The sequence below is a fragment of the Homo sapiens genome, chromosome 8 (genome assembly GCF_000001405.40).
Source record: "Homo sapiens chromosome 8, GRCh38.p14 Primary Assembly".
NCBI lineage: Eukaryota > Metazoa > Chordata > Mammalia > Primates > Hominidae > Homo > Homo sapiens.
The window spans coordinates 74,067,778-74,084,913 of NC_000008.11; the positions used below are offsets into that span (position 1 = coordinate 74,067,778).

The window sequence follows — 17,136 nt, forward strand, 5'->3', positions numbered from 1 at the left end:
CAGACCGGGCGCAGTGACTTACGCCTATAATCCAGCACTTTGGGAAGCTGAGGCAGACTGATCACCTGAGGTCAGGAGTTTGAGGACAGCCTGGTCAATGTGGTAAAACCACGACTCTATTAAAAATACAAAAATTAGCCAGGCATGGTGGCACATGTCTGTAATCCCAGCTACTAGGGAGGCTGAGGCAGGAGAATTGCTTGAACCCAGGAGGTGAAGGTTGCAGTGAGCCAAGATCGTGCCATTGCACTCCACCCTGGGTGACAAGAGTGAAACTCTGTCTCAAAAAAAAAAAAAAAAAAAAAAAAAAAAATATATATATATAACATTTCCTTCATTTCCCAAAGATTTTCTTGCTCTCTTTCCAGTGAGCATCTGCCAATCTGGGTCCAAGAATCCAGCAGTCTGTCTTCTGTCTCTGTATATCAGATTTATTTTCCTTTTCTAGATTTCATATGAATGGAGTCATATAGAAAGCACTCTTTCACTCAGCATAATCCTTTGAGATTCATTCATGTTGTATGTATTGGGAGTTTGTTTCTTTTTATTGCTGAGAATTGTTATCTGTTATAAAGATACACTATTCATTTACCTTTTGACAGACATTTGGATAGTCTTTGGTTTTAGCTCTTATGAATAAAGCTGCTATGAATACTCATGTACATATCTTTGTGTGAACAAATAATTTCTGAGTAAATACCTAGGAGTAGAGCTACTGGGTCATATGGTTAATATATATTTAACTCTGGTAAATTTTCAAAAAGATTTCCAAATTAGTTGTACTTTACATTCTCACCAGCAGTGTATGCTTACTCTACATTCTCTCTAATACTTGATATTGTCAGGGTTTGGTTTTGGTCATTAGTAGGTATGCAGTGGATGGCATTGTGGTTTCAATTTGCAATGATGTTGAGAATTTTTTCATATCCTTATTGGTCATTCATATGCAATATCTTCTCTTATGAAGGATCTGTTAGAATCTTTTGCCTTTAAAAAATTGTTTTTCTTTTCTTATTACTGAGTTTTAATAATTCTTTTTGAGACAGTCTCACTCTGTCACCCAGGCTGGAGTGCAGTGGCGCAATCTCAGCTCACGCATCCTCCGCCTCCGGGTTCCAGCAATTCTCATGCCTCAGCCTCCCGAGTAGCTGGGAATACAGGCACACACCACCATGCCTGGCTAATTTTTGCATTTTTAGTAGAGACAGGGTTTCACCACGTTGGTCTCAAACTCCTGACCTCAAGTGATCTGCCTGCCTTGGCCTCCCAAAGTGCTGGGATTACAGGTGTGAGCCATTGCGCCTGGCCAGAGTTTTAATAATCTTTAGATATTATGGATACAAGTCCTTTGTCAGATAAATATATTGTGAATATTTTCTCCCTGTGATTTATCTCTTTTTTAAACAATGTCCCCTGAAAACCATAAGTTTTAGATTTTCCTGAAGTTTAATCTATTTTTAAAAAATGGTTTGTGTCTTTTGCCTTTCCCAAGGTCATGAAGATGTTCTCCAGTGTTTTCTTCTAGCAGTTTTATCCATTTAGGTTTGGGTCTGGGATTTGTTTTGAATCAAAGGTGTGAAGTGGACATTTTGTGGCTAGCATAGGTCAGAAGTGTGCCCTTCATGCACATATCCTCAGGAGACTGGGGAAAGGAAGCCTCGTTCCTGTGATGGGCAGTGATATTCACACACGTGACCAGGAAGAAATATGTGTTGTTTCCATAGCATCATTTGCATGTTCAGTTCCCCATCTACCATCCACCTAACACTTTTAAACTTCATTAATCAGCAGCCAATCAATTTATTTATTTATTTATTTATTTATTTTTATTTGTTTGTTTTTTGAGACAGAGTATTACTCAGTTGTCCAGGCTGGAGTGCAATGGTGCCATCTTGGCTCACTGCAAACTCCGCCTCCTGGATTCAAGCGATTCTCCCCTCTCAGCCTCCTGAGTAGCTGGGATTACAGGAACCCACCATCATGCTCAGGTAATTTTTGTATTTTTGTAGAGACTGGGTTTCACCATGTTGGCCAGGCTGGTCTTGAACTCCTGACCTCAGGTGATCCTCCTGCCTTGGCCTCCCAAAGTGCTGGGATTATAGGCATAAGCCACTGTGCCCGGCCCATTTATTTGTTAGAAAATGAATCAGTAATTTCAATTAGGAGCTGTGAAATAATGAGTTTTAATTAATTCAGTTATTCTTCTACACTTCTTAGTTGGCATTCTTCTGTAAAGTAGGGCTGGCTGGCTCTCCTGAATATATTTCATATTAGAAAGATAAGATGAATGCTTAAATCTTTCCCTTTGCCAATTTTCTTTCTTTTTTTTTTTGAGACGCGGTGTCACTCTGTTGCCCAGGCTAGAGTGCAGTGGCGCGATCTCGGCTCACTGCAAGCTCCGCCTCCCAGGTTCAGGCCATTCTCCTGCCTCAGCCTCCTGAGTAGCTGGGACTACAGGCGCCTGCAACCACGCCCGGCTAACTTTTTGTAATATTAGGAGAGATGGGGTTTCACCACATTAGCCAGGACGGTCTCAATCTCCTGACCTCGTGATCCGCCCGCCTCGGCCTCCCGAAGTGCTAGGATTACAGGCGTGAGCCACCGCGCCCGGCCTCCCTTTGCCAATTTTCAAAACAAGAATTTGGTTTAATAGCTTCTTTAGATGGTGACAAATGAGTCTCCCCTACTCCAGCTTTATCTTTTTTCCATATTGTAGACTTTTGGGTTTTTATATATCCAGTGTATGCCATTTAACTATGATCATTCTTCTTTTTGATGCTTATGTTACCACAATTATGTCAGTAAGTTCCCCTTCAACTGACTCCTGTGTCCCTTTGTTATGAGTCCATTCATCTTTGGAAATTTCCTTGTTTTTGAGCGTTACAGAAATACCCCAGATTCACCTCGTGTTCTTACCATCCTGCCTCTGGAATCAGTTCTCCAATGAGCCTTGCTTTTTTAAAAAAAAATTAATTATTATTTTTATTTCCATAGGGAATGGCACTAGAGACCAAAATCAGGACACAAGGGGTTTTTATTTTCTTGACATTTTATGGATACATTTTTTAAAAAATTAAAAACATTTTATATGGCATGATTTTGTTTTTTTAAGCAGAAATGTTCTGGGTACCTTGTGCACCATATTGCTAGAAATGATAATTTCCTTACTGAGTATCCAGTGTCAAGCATTTTACTACATAATTAAAGCATTTAATTCTCACACTAATGAAATTTGCTAGGGCTCTTATTCTCATCCCCATTTTAAAGATGAGAAAAATGAAACTGAGAGACTAGTAACTTTCCTCGGTCACACAGCTAGCAAGCATAGGGCAGGTGTCAGAGCCAGGCAGCTGGACTCCAGAACGTGGGCTTATTAGCACCATACTATGATGCTATTCAGTTGCTCAGAAGCATTCCTTATAGGAGACGTGGCAGGAAGTACCTTAAGCAGGATCAATTGTCTTACAAGGACTTTTTTTTTTTTTTTAGAAGCAAACCTTTTGAAATATGAAGAAACAGGGTTAGAAGAAACAGAAAAATGTTTTTTTTGTAGAATCAGAAAATAGTTCCAAATAGTTCTTCTTCTTTCAGTCTTTTATATTGCCAGCAGAGTTAACTCTTTAATGTAGGGCACTGCAACCAGTTCTCCTCTGGCCACCCTCAAAGTTGAACCCATCTGACTCCAGAATGCCTTTTGTAATAAAAAAAAATTGATAATATACATGAGATTACATGTAACATCAATATTAGTTATTAAATATAGTAATATCACAAATACTGTGAACCACTTCTCCACCCAAGACTAGAATATTTCCAAAATTTTCTATCTACCAGTGTATATTTTCCCTATCCAAGTCCACTGCCTCTCACCTCCAGGCCTACCTAGAGGCTTGCCATCCTATTGCTTTTTAAGCAAAAATATGGTTTTAGCACTAATATTTGTCTAAGAACTATATTGCTCACCTTTGCTTGTTTTGAGAATTATGTAAACAATATGTAGTTATCTGTTTCTTGCCTTTCCTTCCTCAACATTATGTTACTAATATTGATTCACATTGTGTGTAGTGGTGGTTCATTTTCTCTGCAATATCGTGTTGCATTGTGTGGATATACCACAATTTATTTATTTATGCATTTACCTGTTGATGTCCGTTTGAGTTGTTTCTAGTTTTTTGTTATTGCAAACATTGCTAATGGTCTTGTATATGTCTCCTCTATGCCAAGTACAATGCCAAGCACAAACATTTTTGGAGATAAATAGGAATGGGATTACTGAGCTGGAGTATATGTGGATGTTCAATTTTGCAAGATAACACTAAATAATTTTCCAAAGTGGTTGTACCAGTTTTTACTCTACCATCCATTGATCTATATAATTTTTAATAGATATAGAAATGCATATAAATTTTAAATTTATTAAAATTTATTTTGAATTAAAGCTGTGAAGTGGACATTTTGTGGCTAAATGTCCACAAATTTTAAATTTTACCAAACTAATGGGTATAAAATTGTTTATCTTGCAAGCCTGTTTGCATTTCTGTAAGTCCTAATGAAATTAAAAATTTTCCATATTTTATGGGCCATATCTGTTTTCTGTTCTGTGAAAGGCTTGCTCTTTGCAATTTATTTGTTCTTTTTCCACTTCTAACTGATGCATTATAATCTAACATATGGTTAAAATATAATTATTAGTCCTCTGTTGTTGGACATTTAGTTTTTTCCCAATATTTTGCTATTATAAGAAAAGCTGACCTGATAATGTTTTGTGTACCTTCAGGATTTCTTTCTTTCAAATAAATCTTAAAAGTGGAGTAGGCTAAGGAGGCAGATATGCTCATTTTGGAAAATATTTTGATAATACACTGAAAAATTACCTCCTGAAATAATGCCAATCTACCTGATGAGGTTTTTCTCTTAACCTATGAAACATATAAGCAGTTTGTTTTATGGCCTTTGACAAAGTTGGGGTAAAAGAGGAAAAGCCTGAAAGCATAGGGAGGTCCTGGAAAAAGCTGGGAGGGGAGGAGCCACGCTCGGCACAGCTCTTCTGAGAAAGGCCGGGAGCCTGCAGGAGTTCAGAGGTGAGCATGCGGGTGCCTCAGTCAGGGTCCAACCAGGGGAGCAGAACTGCTAGCAGATATATATACACATATAAGGATTTGGGTTTTTGCAACTCAAGAAGTGGGTTAAGTGGTCTCTGTAAGGCTGTTATCCCTGTGTCTGTGTGAGCCTGGAGCTTGAAGTCCATGATGCAGGTAGTCAGGCATAAAAGACAGACGGAAATTAGAGGAGACCGAGGGCAGGTAGGACTCTGCAAGCATGAGCTAAACCCACACAAACAGACTGAAATCCGTGTCACGTCTTGTTGCCTCTGACCTTGATAGTGTGGCCATTCTGTCTGTGGAAGCCTGGGTCCTTTATCGAGAACCTAATCCCATACACCTGGCTCAGGAGAAGAAGCTGAAGGAGGGAAGGGGAAGGCAGAGCAGTTGCAGGTTCTGCTGTGGCTTCCTGCCATCAGGTGAGTCAGTAGATCAACAGATGTATGTGAGGGAAAGAAAGAATTTACAGCCATAGGCATCCAACAGCGTGAAAGGTGCTTTCTCACAGATGATCTCATTCAGTCCACACAATAGCCTGTGAAGTTAGAAGTCTAAGCATTTTTAATGCACAGGTGAGTAAACTGAAATTCCAGAGCACAGCCATGTAGCAGGGAGGGATGGAGATGGGACTGCATTTTTTTTCATTTCTATAATCAGACACTCAAGTGTAGGTTTACAGTTCTAATCCATGCAGTTTCCCACAACCTGTGGCTGCTCAAGTTGGCCCTTAATTGATTAGGGGTAAAAAAAGAGATTGATGAATTTATTTATTTATTTATTTATTTATTTATTTATTTATTTTGAGACGGAGTCTTGCTCTGTCACCCAGGCTGAAGTACGGTGGCGCAATCTCAGCTCACTGCAACTTCTGCCTCCTGGGTTCAAGCAATTCTCCTGCCTCAGCCTCCTGCCTGGCTGAGGCAGGATGCCACCACGCCTGGCTAATATTTGTATTTTTAGTAGAGATGGGGTTTTGCCATGTTGGCCAGGCTGGTCTTGAACCTCTGAGCTCAAGTGATCTGCCTGCCTCAGCCTCTCAAAGTGCTGGGATTACAGGTGAGTCACAGCGCCTGACCTGATGAATTTATTGTAATTTAAATATGACCATAGTTTTATTTTTGGTTTTGTTTGTTTTTGAGACAGAGTCTTGCCCTGTTGCCCAGGCTGCAGTGCAGTGGCGCAATCTCAGCTCACTGCAACCTCTGCTTCCCAGGTTCAAGTGATTCTCCTGCCTCAGCCTCCTGAATAGCTAGGATTACAGTCTCCTACCACCATGTTCAGCTAATGTTTTTGTAGTTTTAGTAGAGACAGGATTTCATCATGTTGGCCAGGCTGGTCTCGAACTCCTGACCTCAAGTAATCCACCTGCCTCAGCTTCCCAAAGTGTTGGGATTACAGGCGTGAGCCACTGTGCCCAGCATGACCATAGTTTTAAAAAGAGAAATCTAGACTTTTTTAACACTGAAATTTGAATTTTTAATTATTTTGTGTCATAAATATTATTTTTCTTTTGATTCTTTTTCTTTCTTTTTTAAAATTTTATTTTTTCAAAAAACCAGCTTTTAATTTTGTTGATGTTTTATATTGTTTTCATTTCAATTTTATTTATTTATGCTCTGATGTTTATTATTTCTTTTCTTCTACTAATTTTGGGTCTGGTTTGCTCTTGCTTTTCTACTTGCTTAAGATGCATTGTTAAGTTAATTACATGATGTTTTTCTTCGTTTTTGATGTAGATGCTTATAGCTATAAACTTCCCTCTTATTACTGCCTTCTCTGTATCCCATAGGTTTTGGTATGTTGTGTTTCTATTATCATTTGTTTCAAGAAAATTTTCAGTTTCCTTAATTTCTTCATTGACCCACTAGTCATTCAGGAGCATATTTTCTAATTTCCATGTGTTTGTATAGTTTCCCAAATTCCTCTTGTTATTGATTTCTAGTTTTATTCCATTGTAGCCAGAGAAGACACTGGATATTATTTCAATTTTTTTGAATGTTTTAAGACTTGTTTTGTGACCTAACACATGATCTATCCTTGAGAATGATCCATATGCTGAGGAAAAAAAAGTGTATTCTGGAGCTGTTGGATGAAATGTTCTGTAAATACCTACTAGTTCCATTTATTCTATAGCATAGATTAAGTCTAATGTTTCTGTGTTGATTTTCTGTCTGGAAGATGTGTCCGATGCTGAAAGAGGGGCGTTGAAGTCTACAGCTATTATTATATTGGGGTCTATCTCTCCCTTTAGCTCTAATATTTGCTTTATACGTCTAGATGCTTCAGTGTTGAGTGCATATATACTTAACAATTATTATATCCTCTGGCTGAATTGACCCCTTTATTATTATATAGAGAATCTAGACTTCTATTGTGGCTTTAAAAAATTATTTGTATTTTTTATTTTCTGAGACAGAGTCTTGCTCTAATGACCAGGCTGGAGTGCAGTGGCACAATCATAGCTCACTGCAGCCTCGACCTTCTGGGCTGAAGCGATCTTCCTGCCTCAGCTTCTTGAGTAGTTAGGACTACAGGCATGCCCTACTACAGTTAGTTTTTAAATATTTTTTTTGTTGAGACAAGGTCTTGCTATATTGTCCAGGCTATTCTCAAACTCCTGGCTTCAAGCGATCCTCCTGCCTTGGCTTCCCAAAGTGTTGGGATTATAGGCATGAACCACTGTGCCTGGCTTATTGTGGCTTATTTTGGTGACACCAGCAACTTAATGGAAATGTATCGATATAGTTTACCTATTTTAGAAGATAAAGTGAGACTTTTAAAATATATTGTATTTATCTTTAATTTCTTTTGATTAAATAATTAGTAATTCCTATTAGTGAAAATGAGAATGTTTGGCTTATAATTTTCCTTCTTGGGAAATGATTGTGGGAATGCTGAAAATCATGTTTTAAATATAAAGTCAGTCCTAGTTTCTTCAACAAGTAAAGGGTATGAAAAGAGATGAGAACTGTTGCAAATTGGATTCTCTGGAAGCAGATGCTGACACACGGTTTGGGTGCAGGATGATGGTAAGGAGCAGTGCCTATAAAGGGAAGGTGCTAGACGGAGAAGACCTGTTGCGACGCAGTCCTGGCAAAACCTTGGCAAACCCAGAGTGGCTCTGTGAGCAAATATTGTTTATCAGAGTCGTTCTGTGTCAGGCCAATAGCTGGACCTTTTTACCCCTCCTTTCTCGGTCGCTGAATGTGAGTCGCTTGGAGAAGGGTGTGACCTCAGCTCTCAGCAGCTGATGCTGACCTTGAAGGAGCTGAGAGCTGGAGGCTGTCTGCTGACCCCACATCTCGCAGTTGGGATGTAGGTTCTTCTTGAAGGGTATCTCGGTGATGCCCCTCCATGTCTACCCCAGGAACCATTATAGATTAAGAAAGACTTAAGGGACATCCATCAAATGCCAAGGATTCCTGATTCCAACAAACAACCAAGACACTTTTTTTTTTTTTGAGATGAAATTTCACTCTTATTACCCAGGCTGGAGTGCAATGGTGCAATCTTGGCTCACTGCGACCTCCGCCTCCCGGGTTCAGGTGATTCTCCTGCCTCAGCCTCCCTAGTAGCTGGGATTACAGGCTTGCACCATCATACCCGGCTAATATTTTGTATTTTTAGTAGAGACGGGGTTTCACCACGTTGGCCAGGCTAGTCTTGAACCCTTGATCTCAGGTGATCCACCTGCCTTGGCCTCTCAAAGTGCTGGGGTTACAGGCGTAAGTCACTGCGCCCACCCCGAGATACTTTTGAGGTAATTGTGGGAATATAGATACAGACTGGGTATCCAATGATAGTAGGGGATTAGTGTTAATTTTTTCTTGGGGGCTGAGAAAACATGCTGTTTTTATTCACATAACACTTCTGACACTACATGTGTGGGTTTTTTCCCTCCACACCAAGCAATTCTCCAAATCTCTGGACCCCAGCTGGGTGTACTACAACTTAACCTAATTCTGAGACTATCTACCTGAAGTTGGCATCAGATCCCATAAGTTAAAGGGCTTGGTTCCTCAAGACTGCCCCTACTTCAGATGTTAATCGCATGTCTGGGGCTCTTGCAGTTCTGAATGACCAGCTTTAAATTGGGGGTTCCCATGATGAGTTTGATAATTTGCTACAATGACTCATAGAATTGAGGGAAACACTTTACTTACGTTTAGTGGTTTATTATAAAGGACACACCTCTAGAAAATCTAGAGAGAAGAGATGCATAGGGCAACATATGGGGCCAGAGAGTGGTTCGTGGCTCTTCTCTTCTCTCTCTGGGCACACCACCCTCCCAGCATCTTGATGTATTCACCAACCTGGAAGCTCATCAAATCTCATTGTTCGAGAGTTTTTATAGCACTTACTCTGAGTCTGCCCCTTTCCAGATACTTCATTAGCATAAACTCAGGTGTGATCTAAACAGGCGCTTTATGAATAACAAAAGACACTCCTGTCGCTCAGGAAATTCCAAGGGTTTTAGGAGTTTTGTGCCAGGAACCAGGAATGAAGACCAGATAGCCTTATTTACACTACAGGTGTGATGATGGAATCATGGTTATGTAAGATACCGTCCTTTGTGAGTGATATATCCTGAAGAATATGGTGGTAGAATAAGGTGCCTAGGGATTTGCTCCAGTAATGTGACAGCAATGAAAATGGAGGACTGATAGATAAAACAAGAATGCTAAATTGTTGATAGCTGTGAAAACTAGAGAAGGGCTCAAAGAGATTCTCTTTAGTATTCTATTTATGTGTGTATTTGGAAATTCAAAACATAATGAAAAGATAAATATAGAAAAATACGTGAAATAAATATAAATTATAATGAATATTATGATATATAAATATGTAAAAATTAAATATATAAAAAGTGTTAAAACATAATAAAACATTAAAAAAATACCAAAGGTCATTTAAGATAATACCTCATTGGTAAAAGAGGTAACATGGGCCAGGTGTGGTGGCTTATGTCTGTAATCCCAGCACTTTGGGAGGCTGAGGTGGGAGGACTGCTTGAAGCTGGGAGTTCAAGACCAGCCTGGGAAACGAAGCGAGACCTTGTCTTTACAAAAATTAAAAAAATTAGCTGAGTGTGGTGGCACATGCCTGTAGCCTCAGCTACTTAGGAGGCTGAGATGGAGGGATTGCTTGAGCCGAGGAATTTGAGGCTGCGATGAGCAGGGATTGTGCGACTGCACTCCAACCCGAGTGACAGAGCAAGACCCTGTCTCAATAAAAAAAAAAAAAAAAGAATTATCATAATAAATAGTGGGTATCTATTATTGAGTGTCTTTCATATGCTAGAATTCAACAAGTAAATCCAGAGTAAACTCAATTTTGAGTATTATGAAGATCTGCCCTGGAGATAAAGCATCCTTCAGTGTCAGCTGATAGCTTTCAGTGGAGTGTGAGGATTTTCCTGTGGAGTGTGGCCAAATGAATACCTGGGAAAGGAGATACAGGAAGATCAGGAAGATTGTAAGACAGGACAGAAAGCAAACTACTGAGAGCATTTTTGAGAGCATCCAGACACAGTGTCAGGTCCTTTACATACATTGTCTAAATTCTCACAATCACCACCCCATGTTATTATTTAGATTTTCTAGGATTCACAGTATGCAGATTGGGATATTAAGACTCATATTTGGGAACTCATCCAAGTGTTGGTTGGGATTCTAAGTTAGGTTGTGTTGGGTTCTGAGGCTTTTGCACTGGGTCACTGGAGTTCAAAGCTGGCCACTTCTCAGGCTGCCAGGGAATCTGGCAGCACCCCTGGGGCAGCATATTCTGTGTCTCCTGGAAATGCAAGCTGCACTGGTCCTCCCATGGCTGCTGGGCAGACCCACAGAGCTTCACAGGCCTGGGATGGCCCTTTCTGCTGATGACACTCTTGCCTAACTTCCTGGAACTAGAAAAATTAGAAAAGAAAAAAATTAAAAAAATTAGAGAACAATACTATTCTGAATTTTAACAATACTATTCTGAATTTTAATTAGAAGCTCTGAGCGTTTCCTCTTCCTAAGGGCTTTCTCTCTCTCTCTCTTTTTTTGTTCACTTATCTGCTCATTTGTAGTGGCTAATTTGATGTGTTAACTTGACTGTGCTAAGGGATGCTCAGATAGCTGGTAAAGCGTTATTTCTGGGTGTGTCTGTGAAGATGTTTCTCAAAAACATTAGCATTTGAATCAGTAGACTGAGTAAAGATCAGCCCTCACCAAAGTGGCTGGGCATCATCCAATCTGTTGAAGGCCCAGCTAGAACAGAAAGGCGGAGGAAAGGTGAATTTGCTCTCTGCTTGAGCTGGGACATCTATCTTCTGCCCTTGGGCAACAGCACTCCTGGTTCTGATGCCCTCACACTCAGGCTGGAATTACTCCATCAGCTTTCCTGGGCCTTCAGCTTGCAGATGCAGATTGTGAGACTTCTCAGCCTCCATAATCTCATGGACCAAAATTTCATAATAAATCTCTTTTTATATGTCTCTCTAAGTATCTTACTAGGTCTATTTCTCTGGAGAACCTGACTAATACACCATCTTCAGGTAATGCCCTTTGTAATTTATTGTCTGCCAGTATGTTGGGAGTATACTGGTCTCCATTAAAAGCTGTCTAACAACTTTGGAAGAGGATTACAAGGGAGCTTTATCAATAGATGGCTGTGGTGTTCGCTTTGGCAGCATGTGTATTAAGATTGCACCAATACAGAGAAGATTAGGATGGCCCCAGTGCCAGGATGACACACAAATTTGTGAAGTGTTTAATTTAAAAAATAAAAACAAAAAAGAGATAGTTTTTATGGTAGATAGTGGATTTTATGAAAGAGAGTGGATTTTTTTTTTCGAAACAGGGTGTCGCTATGTCACCCAGACTGGAATCTTGGCTCACTGCAGCTTTGACCTCCTGGGCTCAAGAGATCCACCCGCTTTGGCTTCTAAAATTGCTGGGATTACAGGTGTGAACCACTGCACTCAGCCTTAGCTGTGGATTCTTAAAGACAGAGACTTAAAAAATGTGTGTGTGTGTGTATGTGCATGCAGATGTGTGCAGGGAAGGGGGAAGAACTGATCCTTTTCTACATCCAGGCTGTGGGATACTCCAATGAGGACAGAATAAAAGGAAAAAGTAAGGGAGGGCCAGTTTCTTCCTCAAGTTCACATCTAATATCATTTGCAATGAAAAGAGCGAAGGAGTGGTGGCATTGAACCTGAGCTGAAGGGAAAGCGTACATTGCAGATGATGTTGGAAGTGTTGTTCAGGACCCCTTTATGTGAAAACAAGACCCCTGGAAGGCAGCTGAGGCTTCCCAAGCAGCAGTGCCCACTGTGGGTCTGCCTGGGGTGGTAAATGGGGCTTGGAATCAAAATGCAAGAAAATCCTAGCATAATGGCCTTTGGGTTGAGCCTGATTGACTTTGGTATATTCCCAAGCCCTGAGTACCTCATCGGAAGTTCTTTCTGCTGCTCATGGCCGTGGTTGAGGAATCCTGGGAAAAGATCCTCAGTAGTTAATTGACACTGAAAGTGCTTTCAGATGGTTTTGCTTTATGGCTGAGTGTGGAGGTGCCAGGAATCAGGCTTTGAGCTGCACAGCAATTCCATGGCCAAGTGCATGCCCTGAGAGGCAAAAAATTGTAGAAGAATTTGGAATTGAAGTTAAGTGTAGGTTTTCAAGCTGTGCGTATGAAACACTGTCCATATGATACACTCTACCTTCTCCACTGTCAGTTTGTCACAGGAATGTTTATTCCTCCCACACTGTTACTGATTCCCTGCTTCCCAACCTTTCTCCAAAAAGCTCCCTATGTGCTTTTTCTGGCCTGGTGAGAGAGGTAAACGGGGTAGAATTGCAAAGGATGGAATTTCCCAGCAGGCGGTACAGAGGCCCCACCTTGCTGATGTGGTTTCACCTTCTCCAGGGACCATCAGCTCTTTGTTGACTCCTGGGAATAAAAGCTCGATTTCCTTTAAGGCTCTTTAGTTCCCAGCCCTGCCTGGCGATGGCTGACTCTTGTGCAGAAGAGAGACTGAATCAGTTTAAAGCCTACTGATGATTTCCTAGGCCCTTTCTTGTCTTTTGGACTGTCTTGTGCCTTCTTTCTTTCTTTCTCTCTCTTTCTTTCTTTCTTTCTTTCTTTCTTTCTTTCTTTCTTTCTTTCTTTCTTTCTTTCTTTCTTTTTCTTTCTTTCTTTCTTACTTTCTTTCTTCTCTTTCTCTCTTTCTTTCTTTCTTTCTTTCTTTCTTTCTTTCTTTCCTTCCTTCCTTCCTTCCTTCTTTCTTTCTTTCTTTCTTTCCTTCTTTCTTTCTTTTCCCTTCCTTCCTTCCTTCTTTCCTTCCTTCCTTCCTTTCTCTCTTTCTCTCTTTCTTTCCCTCTCTCCCTTTCTTTCTCCTTCTTTTTTTTTGAGACAGGTTCTTGATTTGTTGCCCAGGCTTAAGTGCAGTGGTGTGATCATAGCTTGCTGCAGCCTTGACCTCCCTTGCTCAAGTGATCCTCCTACCTCAGCTTCTCAAGTTGCTAGGACTACAGGTGCATGCCACTGTGCCTGGCTAATTTAAAATTTTTTTTTTTTTGGAGAGAAGTTCTTCCTGTGTTGCCCAACTGGTCTTGAGCTCCTGGGCTCAAGCTATCCATCTGCCTTGGCCTCTCAAAATGATGAGACTACAGGTGTGAGCCATCATGCCTAGCTAATTTTGAAATTTTTAGTAGGGATGAGGTCTTGCTATGCTGTCCAGTCTGGTCTCGAGCTCCTGGGCTCAAACAATTTTCCCACCTCGGCTGGTGTTTCTTTTTTTTTCTTTTTAGACAGAGTCTCACTCTGTCACCCAGGCTGGAGTGCAGTGGCATGATCTCGGCTCACTACAACCTCTGCCTCCTGGGTTCAAGAGATTCTCTTGCCTCAGCCTCCTGAGTAGCTGGGGCTACAGGTGTGCACCACCATCCCCAGCTAATTTTTGTATTTTTAGTAGAGATGGGGTTTCACCATGCTGGCCAGGCTGGTTTCAAACTCCTGACCTCATGATCCTAAAGTGCTGCGATTACAGGCGTGAGCCACCGTGCCTAGCCCTTGGCTGGTGTTTCTTGTATTGGTTATCATTTTGGCTTCAGGGAGATTGAGCACAATCTTAGAGCTTTACTCTTCCCTGGCCATTCCAGCAGATTGGCTTCAGCTTCCTGCTCCCTGCTTTCAATTATAGAATATTTCCCTTAATCTACAGTCCTATTTTTTGTGCTCCTCCTTATCCAGTTGTCCACAATGCTGCTATATGCCAGGCTTGTGCTAGGATCTGGGAACAGAGATGAATAAAACATGGTCCCTCAGTCTTCAGCAGCTCATAAAGAACTGGGAAAAACAGAGTTGCAAGGAACTCACAGTGAGTGACTCTTTCTTTATCTTCTTTCTGGATTTTGGTTTTCATGCAATTGCACCATTTTTCTTCTGGTTGAGCATGTTCCTAGATTGGACTTAGATTGTATAGGTTATCAATAAATACTGGCCATCCTCATGACTGTGGTCATGTCCACGTAAAGGCTTTCAAATGCTTCCAACTCATGGAGCCCTTGCCTACCAGTGCAATGTGTGCAGGTAACAGAAACTTAAGAAAAATTTTGAAGTTATTTAAACACTTTTCTGATTTTATTTTAGTTTTTATTATTGTATTGTTATTTAAAAAAACCCCAAACACCTGCAGGGGCGGAAAGATTTCCTTTTCTCACCCATCGTAGGTTCATAGCTGAGGCTCCTATAACAAAATAAGATTAACAAGCAAAAGGCATACACATTTATTTGATATAAGTTTTATATGAAGGGGAGACTTCTTAAGGAAATGAAGATTCAAGTAAACAGGTGCACTTGTGTATTGCTATGCTTAGGTTTGATGGAGCATGGACCGTCATGGCGAAATATGACTGGAGGGCAGAAGGATGTGACTGAATGATAATAAGCTAGGGGGAAACTTAGCAAGGCCTGTTTGTTCAGGTTCCTCTCTGTGTCCCTGTGTCTTCAGAGGTAAGGATGTTCCTTTCACCCCAGGTATAGGAAGGGTACTTTTCAAATGAGGGATTTGTGATCTGCTTCAGGGGAGAAGGCTGAGGGAAAGGTGAGAGAGGACTTCCTGCTTCTGTTGTTTTCTCAAATGCCAAGGTGTCATATTTTGGGGTAGTGTGTCCTGAACCCATTTTCCCCGTCCCCCTGCTGGATTAATTTGAAGTAAGTTCCAGGTATTATACAGATGTTTATATGTATCTATATATGTAAATATATATCTATAAATACACATATCATAAATGCAAATATGTGTAAATATTCCAGCATATATCTCTGAAAGTTAAGGACTCTTTATTTTTTAATTTTTATTTTTTTGAGACGTAGTCTTGTTCTGTTGCCCAGGCTGGAGTGCAGTGGCATGGTCTCAGCTCACTGCAACCTCCACCTCCCCAGTTCAAGCAATTCTCATGCCTCAGCCTCCCAAGTAGCTGAGATTACAGGCGCCCGCCACCACACCTGGCTAATTTTTTGTATTTTTAGTAGAGATGGGGTTTCACCATGTTGGCCAGGTTGGTCTCGAACTCCTGACCTTGTGATCCACCTGCCTTGGCCTCCCAGAGTGCTGAGATTACAGGCATAAGCCATGACTCTTTAAAAAGTAACTGTAATATGATGACCACACCTAAAAAATTATTGGCAATTCCTTAATATTATCAGATATCCAGTCACATTTCACTGATTTTATTATAAGCTTTTACTTTTATAGTTGGTTTGTCTGAATCAGGATTTTTGATAGGTGCCTATGTTGTGATTGGTTGGGATACCACTTAAATCTTTTCTTTCTTTTTTTTGAGACAAGGTCTTGCTGTGTCACCCAGGGTGAAGTGCAGTGGCAAAAATCACTGCTCACTGCAGCCTTGACCTCTCGGGCTGGAGTGATCCTCCTGCCTTAGCCTCCTGAGTAGCTGGGACCACAGGCATGTGCCCCCATGCCTGGCTAATTTTTTTTTTTAGAGATGGGGTCTCACTATGTTGTCGAGGCTTGTCTAGAATTCCTGGGCTCAAATGATCCTTCCACCTTGGCCTCCCAAAGTGCTGAGATTACAGGCGTGAGCCACTGTGTCCAGCCAAAACTTTTCTAATCTACAGGTTTCCCCTCATGCTCTTTTTTTTTTTTTGTTTCGTTGCAATTTATTTGTTGAAGAAACTGGATGTTTTCTCCAGTAGAGTTTCCCATAGTCTGGATTTTGCTGATTGCTTCCTCGTGATGTTTAACCTGTTCCTCTGTTCTCTGTATTGCTATCAAAATGATAGTTAGATGTAAACATTTAGCTTGAGTTTAGGGCAGAAATATCTCATAGGTGGTAGTGTGTGTACTTCTATCTGGAGACACAAAATGCTGAGTTCTCTCTCCTTCTATGATGTGAGCAGTCCTGATGCACGGATTAACTCAGTCCCTTAGCTCATTAGAGGTTGCTCAGTGGTAATACTCCAGTTCTATCTTTGCTTCCTACGCCTTAGCCAGAATACTGGTCTGGAAGAGAAACTTCTCTTATAAGCATTTGTAACTCTGAAGTGCAGTTTGTACAGGAAAGTCAGAATTAATGCTGGCTTCTTTCCCTTTATTAATAGTTTTTAAGGAATTTAAACACTGAAGACTTCAGAGATTGTACCCCTTCTTCCCCAACTAGTTTTCTCCTCTTTCCTCTGGCCGCATCTGTAATCCGGAATCTTGGTCTGTCTTTCAATCTCTCTCTCTCTTTTTTCTTTTTTTGAGATAGAGTCTCGCTCTGTTGCCCAGGCTGGAGTACAGTGGCACAATCTCGGCTCACTGCAACTTCTGCCTCCCAGATTCAAGCGATTCTCCTGCCTCAGCCTCCCGAGTAGCTGGGATTACAGGCGCCTGCCACCACGCCCGGCTAATTTTTTGTATTTTTAGTAGAGATGGGGTTTCACCATGTTGGCCAGGCTGGTCTCAAACTCCTGACCTCAAGTGATCCGCCTGCCTTGACCTCCCAAAGTGCTGGGATTACAGGCGTGAGCCACCGCACCCAGC

At 41.0% G+C, this 17,136-nt stretch overlaps 1 protein-coding gene and 1 pseudogene across 2 annotated transcripts in view, besides 2 other annotated features; both read left to right on the forward strand.

Moving 5' to 3' along the window:
* The window catches only part of LY96 (lymphocyte antigen 96), a 108,466-nt gene that overhangs the window by 76,386 nt on the left and 14,944 nt on the right, over positions 1 to 17,136 (forward strand). The window lies entirely within an intron of this gene.
* Positions 10,392 to 10,892: an enhancer, noted in NCBI's record as "H3K4me1 hESC enhancer chr8:74990404-74990904 (GRCh37/hg19 assembly coordinates)". NCBI's record gives its function as "activates a minimal SCP1, AML or CMV promoter by ChIP-STARR-seq in primed H9 embryonic stem cells {active_cell/tissue: H9 hESC(primed)}" and the evidence as "EXISTENCE:reporter gene assay evidence [ECO:0000049][PMID:30033119]".
* Positions 10,893 to 11,393: an enhancer, noted in NCBI's record as "H3K4me1 hESC enhancer chr8:74990905-74991405 (GRCh37/hg19 assembly coordinates)". NCBI's record gives its function as "activates a minimal SCP1, AML or CMV promoter by ChIP-STARR-seq in primed H9 embryonic stem cells {active_cell/tissue: H9 hESC(primed)}" and the evidence as "EXISTENCE:reporter gene assay evidence [ECO:0000049][PMID:30033119]".
* RNU6-1197P (RNA, U6 small nuclear 1197, pseudogene) lies at positions 11,760 to 11,866 on the forward strand (annotated as a pseudogene).